General features: G+C 44.1%; 1 long non-coding RNA gene across 1 annotated transcript in view, besides 1 other annotated feature; it reads left to right on the plus strand.

Annotated features, from left to right (window-relative positions):
- Nucleotides 1-24497, plus strand: part of LOC107985448 (uncharacterized) — a 90007-nt gene that overhangs the window by 59023 nt on the left and 6487 nt on the right. The gene's annotated exons all lie outside the window — the stretch shown is intronic.
- Nucleotides 1577-2255: an enhancer, noted in NCBI's record as "NANOG-H3K27ac-H3K4me1 hESC enhancer chr20:37819274-37819952 (GRCh37/hg19 assembly coordinates)". NCBI's record gives its function as "activates a minimal SCP1, AML or CMV promoter by ChIP-STARR-seq in naive and primed H9 embryonic stem cells {active_cell/tissue: H9 hESC(naive and primed)}" and the evidence as "EXISTENCE:reporter gene assay evidence [ECO:0000049][PMID:30033119]".

Consider the following 24497-nt stretch of genomic DNA (forward strand, 5'->3'; position numbering starts at 1 on the left):
AGCAGAAGAATAAGGGAGGGTCCTGTGTTGGGTTGCAGAAGCGGTGGTCCAAGTGCAGGATCAGGGAGCTCTGGCTTAGTGAAGCAGGTCTGTAAGGTCTTGTGGGCTTTTAGCTCACTCTTGACTTTGTATAGTAATCAGGATGATGTGGATCCACAAGTCCCATTTACCCTCAAGCCATGTTAATAGAAATATCACAAGAGCTGTGATCCAGGGCAGAGAATGAGAATTCAGTGGAAGGAGAGTGTTTGACCCAGAGATATTCAGGTGGTACATTAACCTCTTAACTTATCTCAAAACATTTTAGAGATTAGGGGAAGTATAGTTGAAGGAAGGGGGCCTGGGGTGATTAAAACCATTTATCTATGGAAAACTGCAGGACTTGGAGACATCTGAGGAGCTGACCAAGGATAGAATAAGATATCCTTGGAGATGGTGAGTTCTCTGTCATTGGAAATATTAAGCTGGGAAGGGAGCCTATAGAGATGATTTAAGCATTGGGAGGGTAAACAGACTAGTTGCACTGTTACATAATTCCCTTTGGCTCATGAGGCTGTTTGATTCTCCAAATTTTCTGGTGACCCCTGGGGTCACATGATCAGTAGATATACTGGTCAAAAAGTTACATAGCTGCTGGCCTAAGGCTCTCAAGAGGCTGATGAGACACTGAGCCCTTCCAGGAGGGGCTAAAACACTGATTTAAAACCCTGAGATGAAATATATTATTTTCAAGCAGTCTATAGGTTTGGCCACAGAAGGATAAATTGCACTGGAATTTGACATTAGCTAACCCAGTGGGAGGTTGAGGGGTCAACAGACCATCCTGTAACCTTGAGTCTTCTTGAACCTTGGGAAAAGCTGGCTCTGGGCTGGAGATGACTAGGTGTGGCCAGGACCTTGATTTTCCCTCTGCCTCATTGTGGGGAAACCATCTGTGGCTTCACTATCATTAGTTTACATGGGTATGACTATGGGGTGTGAATGAAAAGAGCACTTAAGTTACCTAAACATTTATCGAGCACCTACTATGTGCCAGGCACTGTGCTGGAGCCAGGGATGTGGAGAGGAATCAAATACGGTCCCTGGGATGGAGGAGCTCACAGATCAGTGATGGAGGGGACCAAAAACCAAACAGATCCTAATAGGCAGAGGGTCTCGATAGACACTTATACCAGGTGCGAGGAAATCTGTTGTAATTACTCATGCCTGGAATAGGGCATCAAGGGGGCCTTCCCAAAGGTGAGCTGTAAGTGGGGAGGTGCTTTAGATAGATAAGAGCACAGGCTGGCCTTTCCTGGTGGAGGGACAGCACATGCAAAGGCCCTGTTTTGCAATGTCCTGGTGTATTCTGGGAATGGTAAACTTTTCTGGGTGGCTGGAAGAGCAAGGTTCATGGTGAGCAAAAAGACTCAGCAAATTTGGGACTGATACTGAATGCCATGCTGAGACATTTTTACTTTGCTCTGTTGGCATTCAGGAGTCACCCCAGGCTTAAAAGTAGGACAAGGAAATGATCAGATGTATCTTCTAAAAATCACCTCTTGGTTTTGTGGACTGGACAGGGATGAGGCTGGGAGCAGGAGGCCAGCTGGACACAGGGTTCCTGCATGGGCTACTTCTTTCTTTGCCACCATCAGGCTGTTCCCAGATTGGATGATCCATGGAAAGATATTTGCTTCTTCATCATTTCCCCTTTACTTTCAGGACCTCATCAGCTTGGGAGAAGTGCTCTTTGCCTGCTTAGTAATCCCATGTAGGGTTATCCAAGAGAACCCCAGGGCATAGCTGAGGACAGGGGAATGAGTCACTATTTGTCATTGTTTGCCACATACCAGATACTTTACTTACACAAGTCCTTTCATTTGCTTCTCACCATGGCTCTGAGTGGTTGCAATTGTGCTTCCCAAGTGGAAAATGATGCTCAGACCAAACTCAAGGTCTCAGAACCTGTAAGTGGCAGAGCTGGGATTTGAACCTGCCTCTACTGACTCTCAGTCCAGTGCTGTTGGCTGCTAAGGGTCCCTGTGTTTGCCTCCCCATGGGGCTGCTGGGGAAGGCTGTGTGTTTGTGTGCACCTGAAGCTGGGCAGCCTGTGTGTCTGGAGGGCCCATCCCACCCGGAGGCAAGGCAGGGAGGCCCATCAGCTCTCTGGTGGCTCCCCTTTGCTGTCTTCGACCTGTCTCCTGCACAGATTAATTGCTGCTCACCCGAGGTGTGATGTTTCCTGGTTCCCTGTTCCGGCAAGTGTGGGTTAGTGGGGAGCGGTGCAGCCATGCTGATCGGGAGTCTGCACTGGCACAGCTGGCGGCCTGCACAGCACCCTCATCGGAAAGTGATCCATCACCCGACAGTCGTGTTGCCATCCAGGCCCAGCTGCCAAGCTGGCATCTTGAGGCCTCCCCAGGTGTGACAGGCCTCCCGGCTCAGAGCCTCAGGGCTGGGCCTGCGTGTCTGCCCCTTGCAGGACTTTCAAAGGGGAGTGGGAGCCTTGCCTGACTAAGGCTTTTACTCTTGGCAGCTTTGGGGAAAGCCCCCAGCTGAAATGCGGTGTTTCCAGTGGGGAAAGAGTAATTTTTGAACATAGCCCCTGTTTTCCCACTGAAAGCTCCCAAGAGGAGCAAGAACCCCAGAGGCATGATGCTTCTTAGCACCCCCAAGTAGTTCCACAGAGACTGGTGTGTCCCTCATATATTCTCAGCTGAGATGGAGCTGGAAAGACCAGGCAGTGTTGGGGCAAGGCCCTGCCAGACTAGCAAGTGAATTTGCGTGGAAGGAGAGAGGTCGGGAGCCTGCCTACGTTCAAAGGGTCCTCGCGGTTCCTGCTCCTGAGATTTAGGTGGGATTAACTTGACCTTCTAGTTTTAAATCAGTACTTCTTAAATTTGGCCATGAGTCAGGATCACCTACAGGGCTTTTAAAAATGCAGATTGCTGGCCCCAACCCCAGTGTTTTCGATTCATTAGGATTAGGGTGGAGTCCTACAATTTGCATTTCTAACGTGTTCCCAGGTGATGTCAATGCCACTGGTCCAGGGACCACACTTTGTGAACCACTGGTTAAGGGGGAGGCCAACCCCCTTTTTAGGCTCTTTAAGAATTTGCAGAAGTCTAAGCTCTCCTGGTTTCTTTGGGTTGTTAGTCCCTGATTAATTTTCTTGTCTCCCCAGGCCACATGGGCTGTCCTAGGGCTAAAATCAGAGATAAAGTTCAGTTCCTTCTGATATCTAACAAGAGCCCATGAGGGTGTGGCAACCAAATTTGGTGAAGTCCGGGGCAGTGGAAGCAGGATTTCTACACGAGCAATACTGATAGCTATAATTCCATTTAGATACTTGCTGTTTTAATTATCCTTTGGCCACGAGGCCTTTGAGAGCACAACCTGAGATGAAATATACGAAAGATCTGGCTTACAGAAGGTGTTTCATCAAGCCTCATTTTCCCCCATCCATCTCTGACTTACTAGTAGAGGCAGATCTGGATGCAATTGAGCCCCAGAAGAAGTTTGGGGAGGAGAGTCTTGAGAATAACTCAGTAGCAGTTCCCTGTTCTTATAGCCCACCATTGGCTGAGGATAAAAGAGATGCTCTCTCCTGGGTCCTTAAATGCCCCCAGAGGCAGAGCTATCTTCTGGATTTGGCTCCTTTCACATTTTGCCAATGCCAGGAGATGGCCTGGCTGGTAGGTCCCAGCTGGTTGACCTTCATAAAGACTATAGGCTGCTCAAACCACTTTCTTTAGGCAAGATCCTCAACTTACCTTTCCCTCTCATTTCATCTCCTGGCGTTTCATCACTGTCCAGAGCTGACTACTAGCTGCTGGATGTCTTGCAATGGCAAAGTGGTCCCCATATTTTTCAGAACTTTGGGAGGGAGGCAAGGGCCTCAGATACCTCCTGGGGCTTGAACTCCCTGAAGGATTTATAGATTTGGTTGGGAGCTTCAAGTTGAGTCCCAATGATCTGTGTAACCATAACCACCAGTGTTCCACCCTCCACTTCCCACCTGTTACCTACCATTTTCAAGCCTTGTTTCCAACACTATGCATAGGCACATGTCCAAGCTTAGCTTTTGTCCTTTTGAATTCCTAAGAGGAATCATTTACCCTGTTCTTTTGTCTTAGTACGTGTGATTCTGCAATTAGATAAATAGTCCTGATTCCTTCCGGCACAAACATAAGAAGGTACTTCAGGAGAAGAGACAAGAAGTATTTTTTTCCAGAGTATTTATTCTTTGCATGTATTATTTGCTCCCTCTTATCCAAGGGGGATACATTCCAAGACCCCAGTGGATGCCTGAAACCATGGATAGTACTGAGCTCTATTTTTACGATGTATTTTTCTTTTTTCTTTTCTTTTTTTTTTTTGAGATGGAGTCTTGCTCTGTTACCCAGGCTAGAGTGCAGTGGCGTGATCTTGGCTCACTGCAACCTCTGCTTCCCGGGTTCAAGAGATTCTCCTGCCTCAGCTGCCCGAGTAGCTGGGATTACAGGTGCCTGCCACCATGCCTGGCTAATTTTTGCATTTTTAGTAGAGACAGGGCTTCACCATATTGGCCAGGCTGGTCTCGAACTCTTGACCTTGTGATTCACCTGCCTTGGCCTCCCAAAGTGCTGGGATTACAGGCATGGGCCACTGCGCCCGGCCACGATGTATTTTTCTATTCGTAAATAACTATGATAAAGTTTAATTGATAAATTAGGCACAGTAAGAGACTAACTAATGAATAATAAAATAGAACAATTATTACAATATACTTTAATGAAAGTTATGTGAATGTGATCTCTCTTTATTAAAATATCTTCTTATACTGCAGATCTTAGCAATCTCAGCATACAATTTTTTTCTTTTCCCTAGTAAGTAGAGAACTTGCATCTTTTCACTTAAAGGAAGCACTTCATGGCTTCTTTTTGGTGTATCTGAATTGCCAGCATCACTACTCTTGTGCTTTGAGGTTACTCTTCAGTTAAATAAAGGTTGCATGAACTCAAGCACTGCGATACCTCAACAGCTGATCTGATAACTGAGGCCACTACTAAGTCACTAATGCGCAGTGGAGCTTATATGGATGGATATGCTGGACAAAGAGATGATTCACATCCTAGGAGGAATGGAGCAGGATGGTGTGATATTTTGTAATGTTACTCAGAATGGCATGCAATTTAAAACTTATGAATTGTTTATTTCTGGAATTCTCTATTGTTTTAAGTTCAGGGGTACATATACAGGATGTGCAGGTTTGTTACACGGGTAAATGTGTGCCATGGTGGTTTGCAGATCATCTCATCACCTAGGTATTAAACCCAGCATCCATTAGCCATTTTTCCTGATGTTCTTCTCCCTCCTCCCTCCTAACTCTCTGACAGGCCCCAGTGTGTGTCCCCCCACCATGTGTCCATGTGTTTTCATCATTGAGCTCCCACTTGTAAGTGAGAACATGTGGTATTTGGTTTTTTGTTCCTGCATTAGTTTGCTGAGGATAATGGCCTCCAGCTCTGTCCATGTCTCTGCAAAGGACATGATCTTCTTTTTTATGGCTGCATAGTATTCCGTGGTGTATATGTACCATATTTTCTTTATCCAGTCTATCATTAACGGGCATTTAGGTTGATTCCATTTCTTTGCTACTGTGAGTAGTGCTGCAATGAACATGTGAGTACGTGTATTTTTATAATAGAATGATTTCTATTCCTTTGGGTATATACCCAGTAATGGGATTGCTGGGTCAAATGGTATTTCTGCCTCTAGGTCTTTGAGGAATCATCACACTGTCTTACACAATGGTTGAACTAATTTACACTCCCACCAACAGTGTAAAAGCATTGGAATTTTCTGTTTAATATTTTTGGACCTCAGTTGAGCACCACTAACCAAAGCCATAAAGAGTGAAACTGCAATTAAGGGGGAACTATTGAAAGTGGGATGTAATCTTTATTCCCTGTTGCATCCCATGCTTGCTTATGGTACCACCTAGGATTGCAATGATAGCTAACTCCCAATCCCCCCAAATCATTGCATTTGGCTGGAGTTGTGGGTATCTTTGCTAGCTGGGTACTAGCCTCTGATTATTTTTTCCAGCTCTTTTAAGGGTAGGGGGATGTGAGGCAGGTCAACTATAATGGAAAGGTCAGAGTGGCTGGTATAGACTGCTTCTGATAGGGCTTATGGTTAGCAAAGAGAGCAGTTTTTACATTAACTAGGATAATTTTTTCACAAATAATATAAATTTAAGACATGGGTGATTGCATTAATCACTTTTGCTTTCTGTAACCCTCTAAAGAGGACATTCCACAAGGCATGGAATGGAAAGAGGAGGTTACAGTGTGACACTTGAACTTAAACCCCTACTATAGAGACAGGAGATAGAACATTGGGGCTTTTGATAGCTAACCCTGAGAAAATGCCTCCATCTGCCCCAGGCTTGCCCTGCCTGCAGCCTTAGGAGATGGTAGCCCCACCAACCTTTCCTGTGAATTTGCCAGTTTCTCTTTGCACCAATGCATAACGTCAAATGAGGGGCCCCCACCAGGGTGCCTGCTGCTTGCTGCCAGGCACTCCTGATGACTTCAGCTAATTTCTGAATCTGGAAACATTGTTGACAATGTGATTTCTGAAACGTGAAAGGCGTTATCTCATTGTGCCATCTGCGGCATGTCTGTCTGAGTCGGGGCTTCCGCTGCCACTCTGCCCCCTTGCAGCACCTCTCACTGCTCCGTCATCATCTCCCACAGCTAATTGCTCCAAACTGACAAGGAGGCTTTTTTCATTTAGAGATACAGGGAAATGGAACTTTCTTGCTGATGTTTCCTAGTCAAGCATGCTTTTTGGAATTCTAATTTGATCTTTTGGTTGCGGGTGGGTGAGTGGGGTCTGGTTTCAGCACTGGGTCAGGGACAGCTCCCAGAGAAGAAGGAAGTAGCACAGTGGGGACTAGGGTGGAAATCTCTTCTGCCTGCAAGGCCGTTAATTGGGAGGTAGTAAATTCTCTGTCACTAGAAGTGTGCAAATGGAGATGAATTTTTTTTTTTTTACTTGCATGGAAAGCTCTAAATGGAGCCAGTCTTTGAATGGGTGATTTCTTCTAGCTCAAGGGATCTCCTGGAGCCAGTTATATCCAGGGGGAGGTGTGAGGTAGGGGAGGATAATCAAAGGGTCAGGGCTAGTGTAGTAGTTATCCATAGCTGTATAACAAATCACTTTAGTACTTTAATAGCCTGAAACAACAATAATCATTTATTTTCTTGCATGGATTTTGTTAGTCATTAATCAAGGCAGGGCACAATGGGGATTCCCTGTCTCTGCTTCAAGTTGTCTGAGACCTCACCTTGAGGACTTGAAGCCTAGGGTCCTAGAATCACCTGAAGGTTTGCCTGTGGCTGAGGATCCATTGCAAAGTGGCTGATAAGTTGGTGCTGACTGTTGATGGGAGACCTCAGTTCTTCCTCCACATGGGTTTCTTCAGAGGGCTGCTTGAATCCTTGTGGCTTTATGGCTGTCTTTCCAGAATAAGCAATCCAATGCCATTTATGATCTACCCTGGGAAGTCATGCACTGTCGCTTCTGTAGTATTCTTTTGGTCACAGAGGTCAGCTTGATTCAGTGTGGGAGGAAACTACAGAAATGTGTGAACACCAGGAGTCAAGGGTCCTTGGGGGCCACTTTGGAAGCTGGCTATTACATCTGGTAATAGAGAGTGAAGCAAGGCACACAGCTTCTATTGATTGAGACAGTGAAGACAAGTTCTGAGCTTGCTCATATTTTAGAAGCAGGAAGTTGGCAGAGGGCATTAAGTCTAAGCTAACTCAAGTTTTTATGAGACTTGTTCTCCTGTCTCTTTGCACAGGCGTCTCCCCTCCAGAGGCATCTACGCTGGGCTTTCACATTTTGCTTCCAGCACTGACCTTTTTCTTGAGCCTTTGATTCATACTTTCAACTCACTCCAACCTCTCTGGCCTCCATCAGCTTCTTGAATATATCGTGCTCTTTCATACTTCAGGGCCTCTTCACATGCTGTTCCCTCGGCTAGGAATACCATCCCTAATCTGTCTTCATCACTCTGTCACTGGTTGGTTTGTGTTCATTGCTGAGATCTCAGCTCAAATGTCACTTTCTCTGAGCAGTCTTTGCTTAGCTCTCCTGTGGCAGATTATATTTTCCAAAGATGGCCACACTAATATATCTCCCATCCCAAATGCTTTTTTTACAATGTGATGTTGACATTTCTCCATCAAGAGGTGGGTCAGTGTTACATTATATAGAACTTGGGGTGGATGTTTGTAACTGTCACAATCAGTAGAAAGTGGCAGAAATGATGCTGTGTGACTTCCAAGGCTAGGTCTTAAAAGGTAGCATAGCAGCTACCTGGAGTGCTGTCTGTCATCTCTGTTCCTCTCTTCCCTTGTCCATGGTACCCCCCACCATTTTGTGAGGAAGCTCAAGTAGCACCTGCGAAGAGACCACCGGGAGAGAAATTTAGGCCTCCAGATGACAGCCAGCATTGCCCATCGAACATACGACTGAATGAGAGTTCAGATAATTTCAGCTCCCCAGTGTTTGAGCCTTCCAGCTGAGATCCCAGACATCATGGAGCAGAGATAAGTAACCCCCACAATGCATCTTTGGAATTCCAACTAAAAGAAACTGCAAGAGATAATAAAAAATGAATGTAACTGTGTTATGAACTGAATATTGGAGTTATTTGTTATGCCATCAAGGTAACTGATATATCTGCAGGCTCCACCAGGTTTCCTTATAATGTGCTGTCCTAGCTTCCAGTATGTTTCCTTCATAGCATTCTTCAAGAGTTTGCACTTATATATGTGACTTGCAACTAATTTCAATTCATTCCCATCTGTTTCACTGGACGGTAAAATGTATGAGGGCAAGCACCATATAAATTTTGTTTGCAAACACCCTGCTAGAGCCTGACATATAATATGTGCTCAATAAATAATACGTGCTCAATGAATGTGTTAAATGGATACATCAATGGATAATCTTTCTCCCTGAATTTGCCATAGATGCCCCAATCTCTGCACATACGAGTTGAAGACACATCTTTGTCTTCCTCTTACATCTTGATGAAGGCACCATTACCTCTTCAGATGCTCAAACCACAAACTTGGAAATCATCTTGGTCTTTTCCCATCTTTTTACTGACTCCCATAAAAGGTTCTGGGTCCTGTGCATTCTACCTTTTAATACTTTATTATTCCACCCCCATTTCCCCACTTTAGTTCAGCTTCTTATCATTTCCTTCTTGTATCCAGTCAATTGACTCCTGTTCAGTTTACTTCCTTCCAATGCATCATCCAAACTGGCAGGTTGACCTCTTCACACTGCATGTCTAAGCCTGTCACTCTTTGGATGAAAATTGTTCACTGACATTATTGTCCTTACAATAATGCCCAAAGTCCTCAGTAGCCTCCTCAAGTCATTTATGGAGATGGGTGTGTTATAAATTGAAACTCCTTGCTGTGGCCTGCAGTTCCTCAATGATCTGTCTTGAGATGATCTCTTCTCCCTCATCTCTCTTTACTTTCACCCCCAGAGCACATGCTGTAAACACATCAAGATCTTGAGGTTTATCCCAAATCACCTGTATTAATTTGGTTGAAAAAGACAGAAATTCCACTTGAGCTAACTTAGGCAATAAGAGTTCATTGGCTCACAGAATCTAAGAAAACTTTTGCAGGGAAGGCAGGCAGAAGAGTGCCCAGGAGTAACTAGATCAAGAAGTCAAGCAGCTTCTACATATCTCCAGTGTTGGCTTCATTCTCTTTCACTACAGAAGAGCTTTTCTATGTTGCTTATTTATTATTGCATTAACAAGCATTTATCATTATTATCTCTCATGGTTCTGAGGGTTACCTTGGCACAGCCAGTTGGCTAATCCTCAGTTTTTTCATGTGGTTGCCATTTGACTGATGTTGGCTGCAGTTGAAGTCATCTTTCTTACTCTCATACCTGGCACCTGGGCTGAGGGATGAGATAGCTGGTGCTCCTCTGCTATCTGTCTCTACCACTCTGTAGTCTGTCTATGTGGTCACTCTAGTATAGCAATTTCAGGGTAGCCAAAATTCCTACATGGTGGCTCAAGGCTTCAGTGATGGGTGTCCGAAGGAAAAATGGCAGAGGGTGCATGGTCCTTCCTAACACAACCTTGAAAGCCACTTCTGCCATAGTCTATTTATCAAGTTAGTCAAAAAGTGTTGCCTGGATTCAAGGGAGGCCCCCTCTTGATGGGAAGGGCATCATGTTTGAACATCACCAGCTTTGCTACTGGAAACAATTCTTGAGTTCATCATCTTACAGTTTCAGCCACCACTTGATCTTAAGTTAAAATCCTCTGGTGGGGATCTCTGAGCCTATCTTGTGTTGGGTGACTCAAGCCCAGTGGACTGTAAGAGAGTGAAGTCTTCTAGAAATATGGCAACTCTTTCATATGGATGAGTATGGCAGGTTTTGAAGTGGAGGTGGTACCAGGTAGGCAGTACAGTGAATGATTTGTACATGGCTCCAAAATCTGAACATAGCACCTTCCCATATTTGCTCAAGCTGTGCCTTCCCAGGAGCACCTTTTCTTCCTTCTTTCCATCCTGTTCACTTTTCTTTGTCCTTCAATTCTCATCTCAGGAACCACCTACTTCAGGAAGTCTTATCTTTTTTGACCCCCAAGGTTAGTTTATCTATTTGCTCCTCTCATTACCAAAGGTATGCTTACTTTCGTTTTAAAACTAATTACACTAGCTCAAAACCTACCTGCCCTCTTTTATCATCTGTCTTCCTCACCAAACTGTGAGCCTCTCTAGGGCAAAACTTGTATTCCTAGTGCCTAGTTCAGGGTCCAGCCCTTTGTAGGTGCTTGATATTTGCTTTTGGAATGAGTGAATTAATCTGAGCAGTAAGGAGGCTGCCCCCAGAATGAACTGCTGTGTCCTCTGGTGTGAACATATGGCCCAGCTGCTGTGTGCTGGGGTAAAAAGAGGCCAACTTGCCCCACAGCTGCCTGGGGTTGAGCATCTGCAGGCTGTTTTGGGAGCTGGCCTGACAGATGGAAAAGGGCTGAAGTCCCCCAGGTCCATAAGTTGCTCACTCCTTTTGAGCCTCTCTGCAGCTGAAGGGCCATTGGGCAGGGGCATGAAAACATCTGGGAGAGGAGGTTGTTCCAGGAAAGCATCTACGCCAGGTGTCAAGCTTCCTGCAGATGAAATAACCAGTCCTGGGCTGGAGTTTCTGACATCTGCTCGTGTGAGGGCTTGAGGTCAGGGGGCCCTGAGAGATGATGCTGAGAATAGGCTTGATTGTTTGGAGCAAGTCCCCCAAATCAGAGATTTAGGGACTAGACAGACATAATAAAAATGAGAGTGGCCACTGATGGAGTACGGACTATGTGCCAAGCACCATGTCAAGCTCAGTGCTTGTGCATAAACTGCTTTTAACCTTAAGAGGCAGGAACTCCTATTATTTCTATTTTATAAAAGAGATAGAAGTTCCGAGAGGTAAAGTAACTTGTCCAGAGGCCCACAGCTCAAAAAGGGTAGAGTCGGGGTTTGAATCTGTGTTTCTGACTGTGTGAGCTCAACTCCACTCATGGTGCTCTGATTAAAAGGGCCCAGACTCCCAGTGAGAGGTGGTGAAACAGACTCCTTCAGATACGGGTTCTGGGAGGATGTTGGCTAAGACATAGAGTCTTTATGTTTCTGGGTAGTTGGGCCCAGTAGACTTACCTCTGCTCCCCAATATAGACCGAAGCCAAGGACTTGGGTGCATGTAATTTTTTTTTTTCAGGATATGACTCCAGGAAGCACAGTAGGAAGTGTGGGCATGAGACCAGGAAAGGAAGGCAGGCAACTAAGGGTACACTAATGAGCCTGGTGGGACAACTGGGCTGAGACTTTCTGAGGACCTGTGTAGAGCTCACCTTATAATTGTTCCACAGACAGGAAGGAAGCTGAGTGTTTGTTCATCTGTTACAGTGCCTCATTGGTTGAGGGTTGTTTCCAGGGGCAAGATCTCCCTGGCTGTTTCCATCTGATCCTCTTTATCCAACATGAGCTGAACCTGCTCCAGTTACAAAAGGAAGCTCTCAGGCACAGAGATGGAGATGCTTGGGGTAGGAATCCATTGGTAAGTACGGAATCTGTCTACGGAAGCTGCAGGTGACTTTGAGGTTGCACCATAGTGATGGGGCAAGCCACCAACAGTGTCTGCTACACTAGCCCTACCTGTGAATGCCCCTACAAATCTGTCCTTCCTCCATCAGGCATTTCTGGGTGCTCCCGGGAGGTATCTTATATGTGTTCTTAATCTTGATCAGTTATTGCTTCCTCCTCTGGGTCGTGCTGGGCACTATCATTTTCCCCAGCCCTGCAAAGACAACAGGTGCTGTGTCATTCTCATTCTCTGAGTATTAGTGGGTTCTTTAGACTCTCATTCCCAGGGAATATCTGCTGCTTGCTGGGCATTTCCACTACATCTGCTACCTTCAACAGTTTTTCTTTTAAACCATAGTCCTCTCTTTTCCTCATGTAGAAAAGAGGCCTCTTGGGAGGCTGTGGTGGGAAATCTGAGAGACAACCACTGCCATGTTGTACTTGAAATACCCCAGACCTCTGATTGGAAGTCAACAGCAGATCTCTTCCCTTTCCTTCAGTTCTAGCACAGTGAGATGCATGGGCAGGGGTACAGATGGTTCAGGAAGCTCTAAGCCTAGTGAATTGGTTAGGAAAATCCCCAGTACATTTGTTTTGTATTTTTCTTCAAAATGAGGGAGTTGGCAACAAAACGTGTGGAAAAGTCATTAGGTTAGTTCATGCCTCATTATGATAACTTAGGGGTTTTCAGAATAATTCCTTCATTTATGTGATGAATATTGGTTGAGCACCTGCAACATGCCAGATACCATCCTACTTGTTGCATTGCATGTCAGGCAGGGCAGGCAAAGGGTGACACAATGGACTCTGATCAGACAGGAAGGCAAGGAATCTACCAGCAGGAAAAGATAAAATCTGAGGTACATCTAGGGAAACATAGTATAAAGATGAAGTTCAAGGTGTGGCTATAAAATCCTTTGCAAAGATCTCAGGAGGATTGAAAGTGGTGCCTCAGAGAGCCATTTAGTAAATAAAAAAGGGCTAATAAGAAAATTAAGGGTATCGTCTCTCAGCAATCTCAGCAGTATCCCAAGATAGACAAAGGCTTGGAGATTTGTAAGCTTGTCCTTTGTCTAATGACATGAACCCTAGTTTCATAGTAGAACCACAAAACTTTTAAGGGCAATGTATTGGCAGAAACACTGCCTGCTAGGACTGAAAGGAACAGAAGTAGTACAAGATGAAAAAGGGCCTTTGGACCCCTGTCTATCCCTGAAAATCTCTGTTTGCAGAGGGTAAGAGAAGGGAAGCACAGTCCTGGCCTCTGGCCTCACTTGGGAGACTGTTTCTGTTCCCTGGCTATGCATGAAGAATGTTCAGCTTCCCATTCTCCTGTAGAATTTGAGCTCTTCACCCTTAGTACCTAATTATAGTTCCAGTGCCTGGTGAACCTTGAGCTTCAGCCTGTCTCAGAATTGTAAAATTTTCTTGCATCACTAGTAAAGAGATTTGAGTATTATTTCTGAGCATGATCATGGCTATTTTAATAATTTAATGTACTTTATGTGCCGTTTCTATGAGTTTGGGAAAGAGAACAGATCATTCTGTGACCTGGAAAGCAGTCCACTAGTATTTAATTTTCATATCTCATTGAATTCTCACTATAACCCTGCAAGAGTACTCTTATTATCTTCCTCCTTTAAATGAGAAAACTGAGACTCAAAGAGATTAAGTGTCCTATTCAAAGTCATTCATATAGTAAGTAGTAGTTGATTCAGGATTCAAACCCAGGAAATATGACTTCGGAGCTCATGCCTTTAACCACTGCTGTATATGACAGAACTTCTCAGAGCCTTTAATATGCTGGTGGGTATTATTAATGTCCAAAAGTGGTTATGCAGAATTTCCCAAATTTATCTTACCCTATCCCTTTTGAGTTTCTTTTACTACTACAGTTCTAAAGACATACTTTGTGAAATATTGCAGAGATTGAGCAGATAAAACTTGAGAAGTTATTGAAGTAGGTGATGTAATAGTAAGCTTTTGTTAAATGAGGCCATGGTAACAAATTCTTCAAATATCAGTGCTTTATCAAACAACAAGATTTTATTTCTCTTTCATGTCACATGTTAGAACTATAGTTTGGCTGCACCTTCGCTCAATATGTCTTTCATTTTGGAACCCAAGGAGAAGGAATTATCCTAATCTAGAACATACCATCTTCATGACAGACAGAAAGAAAGAGCAAGAGATGGGGTAGAAACTTGCAACACATCTTAATTTCATGGATATGGTATATGTTACATTTGTTCACCTGCCATTGGTCAAAGCATGCCACATGGCCAAAAACAAAGTCAATGAGATGAAAATGTGTACTTCCTTTACTGACAATAGAAGGGTAAATAATTCCAACAATAATGCAATCTACCATAGAAAACAGAACCACTGAGAGCCCTCAATCAAACAGGCATTTTCAGTAGCAGAGAGGAGGGAAGTTGGAAGCTGTACTATAAAGATTTTAGGAAAAGCACAGGAGGTGTGATAATATGAGACAAGAGAAAGCATGTGGCTGAGGATTTTTATGGTTTCATGTGGCTATGTGGGTGAGTAACAGAGTCTGTCCAGCATGTCCAGCCTAGGACATAGGAGAAATGTGAGGGTACCTGGATATCCTGTCTGGTATCAACACCTGCCAGCCACCCATGTTAGAGATGTGTTGCTGGTTGCTCATTCTTATATGCCTCACACATTCTGAGAGCTCTTTCAATACAGTTTTTGAAACTACTTATATATCTTCATTTACTTTCCTTCCCCCTTTCAATTGCTCCCTAATCAGCAGTGGATGATGTCCACCCTATAACCTGAATGTGATGTCATCTTTGGTATCGTTTAAGAAATAGCACTTAACAGTTGTTAACTATGGGAATCCATTTTTAGAACACTGCTTATCTTCTCCTTCTTTACAAAGGTGATTAAGATTTATTTTTACTTGGATGAAAACAGCCTTCATTGATTTCTGCCCCATAGAGAGATGACAGGACACTTGCATTAGTCAGAGAGGAAGTTAACCCTTTACTTACTGCCACTGAGGCAGGCTACACAATTCCTCCCAGGGCATGTACAGTGGGCAAACAGAGTCAAAATTGTCTTGTTTTGTACAGAAGCAGCAAACCCAGAAATCAGAGAATGTGACTTCTCTGTGCTCAGTATGGAGGCGATTCTGAGAATTCCAACTTGTGGGAAGCTTTCTTCCTGGTTGACTACCAGGGGAGAGTGTGACTGACTCCAAACCAGCTCTGTGAGCCTTCCTTTCTTTTAGTATGAGAGCTGTACTTCCTTCCTCTCCCTCACACACACCCTGGTACGTCTGCATTCTGTATCCTTGTATGACAGAGACACTTCCACATTTTTAGATGTTACAGCAACACCCTACTTCTAGGTACCAAGATCTATATTGCTTATCTCATACTTGGTTGCTGAAACCAACACAAATTTATTATCTTATACTTCTGGAAGCCAGAAGCCTGAGATGGGTCTTAGGGGGCTAAAATCAAGGTGTTGGTGGGGCTGCATTCCTTCTGGAGGCTCTGGAGGAGAATCCACTTCCTTGGCTTTTTCACCTTCTAGAAGCTGCCCACATTCTTTGGCTTGTGGCCCCTTCCATTTTCAAGTCCAGCAACAATGGCTAGTCAAGTGTTTCTCATGATGCCATCTCTCTAGTTATGATTCTTTTACCACCCTCTCCCCATTTAGGAACCCTTGTGGTTACATTGGGTCCATCTGGATAAGCTAGGATGATAATCTTATCTTAAAGTCAGCCGATTAGCATCTTTAATTTCACCTGCAACCTTAACTTCTCCCTTGCCATGTAACCTAACCTCAGAGGTCCCGAGGATTAGGACGTAAACATCTTTGGGAGGCTATTATTCTACCTACCACAACATCTAAATCTTTTGCCCCTGTCAACTCTGCAAATGGAGATGGGTTTTAACCTGTTCAGAGATCTCTAGGGGGTCAGGGACATAAGAGAAATATACAGTGTATCACACAAACAATTTCAAATTAATGTTATGTTACTCTTATTCTAAAGAGTTCTTTGGACCCTGCAACAATGTGATTTTCTCAGCTTTGCTTTCTCTGTAGCTCCCAGCCACCTGTTAGATTGATGGTTAATATTTTCGCATCCTGACTCATTTCTCCTCAATTAAAAAAAAATTCACAATCTTTCTGCTCTATTATGCAGAGCAATTTGTTTTCTTGAGTCTTTATCTTAGCTCACTGATCATGTCTTTAAATTTTTGATAGTTTGGCATTAATCTTGAGTTTTAAAATATTGCATTAAGTATTATTTATCTTGGTTATTGAGTTTTTTGGTGCCCTTTAAAATTTTGCACCTGAGTTGAGTGCTTCACTGTAGTCTGGGCCCTTTACTCCCTATACCTGCCTCACCTTGTCCCCATCACACTGGTCAGAGGCAGCCCCTGCTAAGAGGTTCTTATGTATTATTCAAATAAAGTTCCATGCATTTAGATATATCTGTAAGTCTGAGTTAGACATCAGTTTCACACAAACATATACTTATTATTCCCTGTTCTGCAACTGGCTTTTTGCCTCACTCAATGTGTTAAAAATCTTCCCAAAAGGTTGATATATTATAGCTCAGCATTATGCTTTTCTTTTTTTTTTGGACGGAGTTTTTGCTGTATTGCTCAGGTTGGAGTGCAAGGGCACGATCTTGGCTCACTGTAACCTCTGCCTCTGCCTCCTAGGTCACTCCTAGGTCTGCCTCAATCGCTCCTTGAAGTGATTCTCCTGCCTCAGTCTCCCAAGTAGCTGGGATTACAGATGCCAACCACCACACCTGGCAAATTTTTGTATTTTTTTTTAGTAGAGACGAGGTTTCACCCTGTTGGCCAGGCTAGTCTCGAACTCCTGACCTCAGGTGATCCATCCGCCTCAGCCTCCCAAAGTCCTAGGATTACAGGCATGAGCCACCGTGCTTGGTCTGACATCATGCTTTTTAACACAGCTCAGAATTTTCACTTTTGTGTATTTTCCTAATAATTTGTAATGACGTTGTATTTTTTCTATACAAGAAAACAAAAGAATATTTAAAATAGTAGTGAAAAGAATAGTTACATTTATTGAGAGACTATTTAAAGTGCCAGTACTATTTAAGTTGTTATGCATTATCTTATTAATCCTGTTGGTAACGCTGTGGGATAGGAGTCATTATTGTACCTTACAGATGAGGAAACTGAGATTTAGATGAATTAAGTAACTTGGCTCAATATATTACATCCAGAGGTGGTAGAGCCAGGATTTGAATGCGGATTTATCTTCCTTCAAAGACCGTGCTTTTAACCACACTCTTTAATATATCAAAGTATTTACCAAGGCCTATTCTTTAAAAGACCCAGTAGAAGCCCCCTGAGTTACATTCAGTGATGAGAATAACGAGGGCCTCATGTGAACTGTTAAACAACAATAAACTTAACAGAGGACAGAGTTATGAGAAATGCCATGTGGGGCTGACTGGTTAAGTATCCCAGGAGTGGATCGGATACATTTGCTTATTTTTCCAGAGTTCGAAGGGAGCTGTGTGGATTGAACAGTTAGTGCCAGAGACTACAAGGTGCGTTTAAGATGCTCCCAGGACAAGCTTCCTTTGCTCCATCTTAGAACAGTAAAAGTTAGCTCAGTCTTTCTTATTCGGTGCTCCTCTCCTTACGTGAGATTACTTACATTCCTCATTCTTTTTCCTGGCCCAGTACTAGATTCTGATATTGGTTTCTGGCTGTAACAGTCATAATACTTTGATTTGCAAATAAGAGAAAAGTCAATTTACATTAGCTTAAATATCGAAGGAAGTTTCTTGGCTTATGTAACTGATTAGTTCAGAGGTAGCATGCTTCAGGCATGGTTTGATCAGAGTTCTGGCTATGTTTCATTGTGAGTTATCTGTGCTGGTATTGTAATGTGTCAACTGGCTAGGCTGGACTGACATTTTCAGAATTTCCTTTTCTGCATGCTTCTTATTAGGGTAGACCACAAAAGGTATTTTCAGGTAAGATAAGAGGGTGGAAATGAAGCAGCAGTCATTTTTGTTTTTGACACTCAGAAGGTCGGAGCAGGCATATGGAGTGGGGAAAGTATGCCAGTTAACCTATTTCATAATCACATGCTCTATCGCTGTTCCTGAAGCTATGCCAAGGTAGCTGGGTTTGGAAGTGTTTCCAGCCTTGGTTTCATGTTCCAGAATTGCAAAACTTCAAGACAAGTGTTAACTTGGGCCATGAACCCAGGCTTTCTCTTCTTTCTGGTGAATCTTCTTTTAAAATCTTGTTGTCCTTACATTTTTTTTTCTATTAGGCAGACCATCTCGGTCAACTCAAAGTTGTTCTAGTGTTGAATCTACTTCCTAGGTTCAGTTCAGGATTTCAATCCCCTTCCTACAAGGTTTTTAGCTCCTTGGTAGATTGATTCATTTCTCCCTTACAAAGATGTTTCTGCACTCCTGGGAGCTTTGGGAAAGTACATTTTGTCGGGTGAGGAGAATCCTCTTTATTCAGGGTTAAGTGTCTCCTTGGACTTAACTTGCATAACTACAAGGGACACCCAAGTAACTCCCAAGAAGTGAGAAAGCAGAGAGCTGCAGAGTGCTTTGCTGGTCTACTTTGGCAGAGAAGAGTCCTCAGCTGCTTTCCCGAGAGAATTTAATTTAATTTCTACCTTACCAAGCAACCCCTTGTATCTGAATTGACTGTGTCTTTATGGGATGATCTCTCATTGCACGCCCTGTTGATGCCCACGAGGTTGTCCCTGGGATCTTGGACACAGCCTAGAGTCCCTTTCACATACATGTGAATAAGTAGAGTGACATTCATTCAATAAGTATAAGTTATGCTAGGGAAGCCATAGGGAAGAGGTGAGCTTGGAAGAATGGGTAGGATTTTGGAAGAGGAGTAATAAGGACCTTGAAAAGGAGGAATGACATATATAAAGGCATAAAGGTGAGAGCAGAGAAAGTTCCAGTTCTTGGGGAGGTGATGAATCTGGAAGGAGAGGCCTCAGCCTTGGCCCCACCACTGTTTGTGGGGCCTTAGTAGAGGATACTCTTGTGTGCTGTCCAGTGACAAATAAGAAACAAGCCTGGATTTTTTTTTGTTTTTTTTCCTGAGACAGAGTCTTGCTCTGTTTCCCAGGCTGGAGTGCAGAGGCACGATCTTGGCTCACTGCAACCTCCACCTCCCTGGTTCAAGCAATTCCCCTGCCTCAGCCTCCCAAGTAGCTGGGATTACAGGCGCACGGCACCACGCCCAGCTAATTTTTTTGGTATTTTTAGTAGAGACAGGGTTTCATCATGTTGGCCAGACTGGTCTTGAACTCCTGACCTCGGGCAATCCACCCGCCTTGGCCTTTCAAAGTGCTGGGATTACAGGCATGAGCCACTGCACCTGGACCAAGCCTGGATTTTTAAGTAAGGAGAGACTTTGTTCAGCTAATAATGTATGAGTCAAAGAGCGTGAATTTGGAGAGCCTTTGGCCTTGTCATAGGTAAACAAGGAGAGGGCACCTGTGAGTCTTACCTAAGACATGTGGGGCAGGGTGCACCATTGCAATAATCTATTTTCTGGGACACCAAAGGGTGGGAGATTTTTTAACTTCCACATTTTCCAAGATCACAGGGCTTGGATAAAGTTCAATATTGTCACTGGATTCTGATGGATCCCTTTTGCCGACTCTGTGTGCCCATCCCCCAGCTTTTGTGGGCTTTGCTGCTGACTGCTCACTCCTGTGACCCTCTTCAGAGGGTTGCCCTTGGGTGCAGAAGCCCATAGGGGTGGGGATAGGTTCCTCCATCACAGCCTGAAGTGCCTGGGACTTTGTTCCCACCATTGTCATGACTGGTGTGGGAGTACAAAGGCCTAGCTCCTGTGTCCAAAGCTGGACACAGTCTAAGGTGCAACTCACTCCAGAACTCCATGGAGGATGAGGCTGGGGCTGAAACTTCTCCGAAATTGCACCTTTGTTCAGCTTCTTTCCTTTTTCTATGTTGCTTCCTTCATTCCCTGACTGGTTTCTTCTTAGAGCACTTCTTTGACAAACCTTCCTACGCTCAAATCTTCAGCTCAGGCTTTGCTTCTGGGAGAACTCAACCCAAGACAGCTTCAGGTTTCCCATTGGTAGAATGGAGGCCTTGGGATAGACCACTGGTTTTAGAGCTTTGCTTTGACTACAGATCCCTTTCTATACATGAAGATCTATGAAGAAGTCCAGAATATCAAACAGGTTAGAATGGAACTGCTGAAGTTGATGTGGGGCAGTGTCCCTGCATCCCCTCCTCACTATTCCCACCCCCCTTCTCAACTTTGGTAGCAGTCCTGCTCTACCTTGCAGATGCTACACCCCCATCCCACCTTCTTGGGGCTCCATGGGCACAGTGCACCAGCTCTGGACTGGATGGTAATGTCCTCTAGCTCTAGCTCCATGATATCCTTGGCATCAAGTGACAGCAATTGTTGCTGCAGACTTCAGGTCAGGAGTGGCCTTGCATGCTCCTGAGCCCAAGGTGCTCCTGATGGTACTGCCAGTGTCCTCACTGGGGCATTTTATCCTGCATATCCTCCTGAAAGGCAATTTTATCCTGTATATCCTGCTTCTGGCCAATCCAGTAGCCCCACAGTCTTCTCTGAGACCTTGAGTTTGCAATGAGGTTCCCAGAGACTGGAACCTCACAGAGTTCCTGGTTATTGCTTTGAATTTGCACCTGTGGATTTAACTCCTGGTGATCCAAAGGCAATCAACTTTGGGGTGGAACTTCATGAGTTGGCTTCCTAGGAGAGAATTGGCAGTGGCAGCTAGAGGAAGTGTGTGAGAGGCTCTGTTCAGCAGGGTGAGCATATGCCTTGCTCATTCGAGGCACTGACAGTGGCAGAAACCAAAGGAAAGGAGCAGAGGCAGAGTGGCTTGGGGCATTACAATGATCCGTGCAGTTAGATGTGCTCGGTGTTGATGCTAGACGTGCTCCTCCCATTGATGATAGTGGCAACAACAGTACTGATCCCTTTAACATTATTGAGGTCTATTATGTGCCAGGTATTGTGCTAAAAACACCTAGTCTTTATGGAAGTCTTGTGATGTAGGCTCTATTCTTACTCCCATTGTACAGATGAAGAAGATGAGGCATAACAATTTGTGCAAGCCCACACAGTTAATGTGCCGGAGTCAGGCTTTGAACTCCGACAGTCTGACTCCAGACCACCTCTTCCTCCCAGTATCCATGCTCTGGTGCCTCCTGTGGCACACTCAGAAGATGGCCTGCATGTGCATGTGCTCATTTCTGTGTGTGTGCATGCATGCATGTTTATGCAGGACTGGGAATGCAGGGGAGTTAGAGTCCAGTTAGGAAGGAGAGAGGAAATATGATCTCTTTGTTGCATGTGGGCACCGTAACTCCAGCCAGGCAAAGTGCTGGTCTGTTGTAGCTCATTTTTATGTTTTTATTTAGAAGCTTCAATACCAGAGCTGATGGCAGAAAATGTGCAGTAAAATGCGGGGAGGCCGCTGGGTAATGGCCCCTGTAAAGTGTTAATTGCCTATTGAGACTGCAGACTTTGTCCATGCTCCAGGATCTGAACTATTGACAGGTTCTAATTTATTTCGGGCCCACAAAGCGGGCTCCTCCTCTAAACAGGCTTCCAATCAGTCACGCTTCCCTGGGCCTGCCAAGAAGCTCCAGTCGATAAGTATGTTTGCTGCCTTAACCCTTTGAAGCTGGTCGTGTGGTCTGATTCTGGCTTGCCTTAAGGAAACTTCCATGCACAATGGTCTTGGATGAAAATCCATGAGAATCAAGTGCTGACTCCGTGCTGGGCTCCCAGCTGGGTGTTTTACATGCATTGTCTCTGATCCTTACCGCTTAGAGAAGCAGGTAGTATCTCTTCAAGGACATCCTAACCTCAGAGAAGTTGAATTAATTGTTTAAGTGACCACTATGATTATACTTCAGACTGTTACGGGCTAAACTGTGTTCCCTCAAATTCATGCTTTGAAGCTCTAGCTCTCAGTACCTTGGAATGTGACCGTATTTGAATATAGGGCCATTAAAGAGGTGATTCAGCTACAACGAGGTCTTAGGGTGGGCCCTGATCTAATCTTACTGGTGTTCTTTCAAGAAGAGGAAATTTGGACACAGATAAATACAGAGGGGTGACCCACTGGAAGACACAGGGAGAAGGCAGCCATCTACAGACTAAGGGGAGAGGCCTCAGAAGAAACCAATCCTGCTGACACCTTAATCTCAAACTGCAAGCCTCCAGAATTATAAGGAAATGAATTCCTGTTGCTTAAGCCACCCAGTCTGAGGTATTTTGTTATGGTAGCCCGAGCAGGTGACTACACACACCCAGGACTTGGTGTGGCCTTGAATTTATGCACATGACCACTGTAAGTATGAAAACTCTGTTCTCTGGCTTATGGCTCCAGTTAGAATAAGAAGCAGAAAGTGGGCAATATTACCTCTTTGCAGTAAATTTGTTCTTAGGTTGGGTCCTCAAAGGGCCCATGCCTATCCATTAGAAAGAAAAAGAAAGCTAGATTTGGGATTCTAAGTGCAAAAAGAAGTCATTGACTGTTTCTAAGCAGAGTCAGTAACACAATCAGAATTTCTTTCTTTTTTTGGAAAAAATAGTCTCCTCTGGCTACTGTGCATAGAGAATGGATGGTAGAACACAAAAGTGAAGCAAGGAGACCCCAGAGGAGGCTGTTGCACTGCAGGCAAGAGATGAAAGTGACTTGATGGAGAGTGGTGGCAACAGAGAAGGAAAGAGGTGAATAGATTTGAAATAGATTTTTGAGATGGAATTGACAGAACTTGCTGATGGATTGGGGGTGGAGGTGAGAGGGAGGGAGTTGACAAGTGATGATGCTCTTGTTTCTGGCTTGAGCAACCTCGTCTTTACAGGAGCTATTTATGAGGAGGGAAGACATGAAGAGGAATCGATTGGGTGGCAGGTGTTCACTTTCTTTAAGTGGGCTGTCCACTGGAACATAAGCTCTGAGAGGGCAAATTTATTGATTGAAGGTTGTATGAATCTATTTATTCCTGTCCCCACATTTCATGCACACATATGGTTTTTATATGAACCAGAAATAATGTAGTTTCTTTTTTCTACATCAGAAGCAGACTATATTTTATGTCAAGGGTGACATCTAATTTTGCTAGTCTCACTCTGTTGCCCAGCCTGGAGTGCAGTGGTATGATGTGGCTCACTGCCTGCCGCCTGAAACTCCTGGGCTCACGAGAACCTCCCACCTCAGCCTCCCAAGTAGCTGGAACTACAGGTGTGAACTACCATACCTGGTTAATTAAAAAAAATTTGTAGAGATGGGTGTCACTATGTTGCCCAGGCTGTTCTTGAACTCCTTGCCTCAAATGATTCTCCCTTCTTGGCCTCCCAAAGCTCTTGGATTACAAGTGTGTGCCACTGTGCCCAGCCATCACTTAGCATAATGTTTCAAAGGTTCATCAACGTTTATCATCCACTGATACATGTTGTAGCATGCATAGGTACTTCATTCCTTTTTATGGTTGAATAATATTTCATTGTATGAACAGACCATATTTTGTTTACCCATTCACCAGTTTTTGAACATTTGTGTTGTTTTTACCTTTTGGCTATTGTAAATAGTGCTGTTATGAACATTTGTGTAAAAATTTTTGTTTGGACACCTGTTTTCAATTCTTTGGGGGTATATAACTAGCAGTGGAATTATTGGATCATATGGTAATTCTATATTGAACTTAGTGAGGAACCAATGTAAGGCATATTGATGATAACTGATATGTTCCATTTTGGAAAGAGGAAATGGAGGCCCAGGATGGTCTCAACTACCATCTAAACATCCTCAACTCTCAGCTCTTTAACTTCGGTCCAAATCTTCTCTGTGGTCTTTAGCCCATGTATTTAATTCCTGGTGGACATTTCTACCTGGATATCTCATAGTCACCTCAAACTCAGAGTGTCTGAAACCAAACACACCAACTTCTTCCGTTTATTCCCATAACAGCTTCATTTCCTGTTTTCATCTCAGTGAATGACACCACCGTCCAATCAGCTAGCAGTGGGACATCATCGTTGGCCTGTCAAGGGATGGTACTATTTACTGTGTGACCGTGGGCAAGCCATCCATCTCTATACTTTAGTTTCCTTGTCCAGAAAGTTAGAAGATAATCTTACTGGGGATGAGTATGAGGATCAAGCGAGATGACTCTCTCTCTCTCATCTCTACCCCCATCTTAGCAAAGTGTCTGGCACACACTGTGAGCTCAACACTATTAACATGGAACTGTTTTGGGTAAGATGTGTTATTATCCTGTGGAGCTGGTGTTTCACAGAACAGAGT

The sequence above is a fragment of the Homo sapiens genome, chromosome 20 (assembly GCF_000001405.40).
Source record: "Homo sapiens chromosome 20, GRCh38.p14 Primary Assembly".
NCBI lineage: Eukaryota > Metazoa > Chordata > Mammalia > Primates > Hominidae > Homo > Homo sapiens.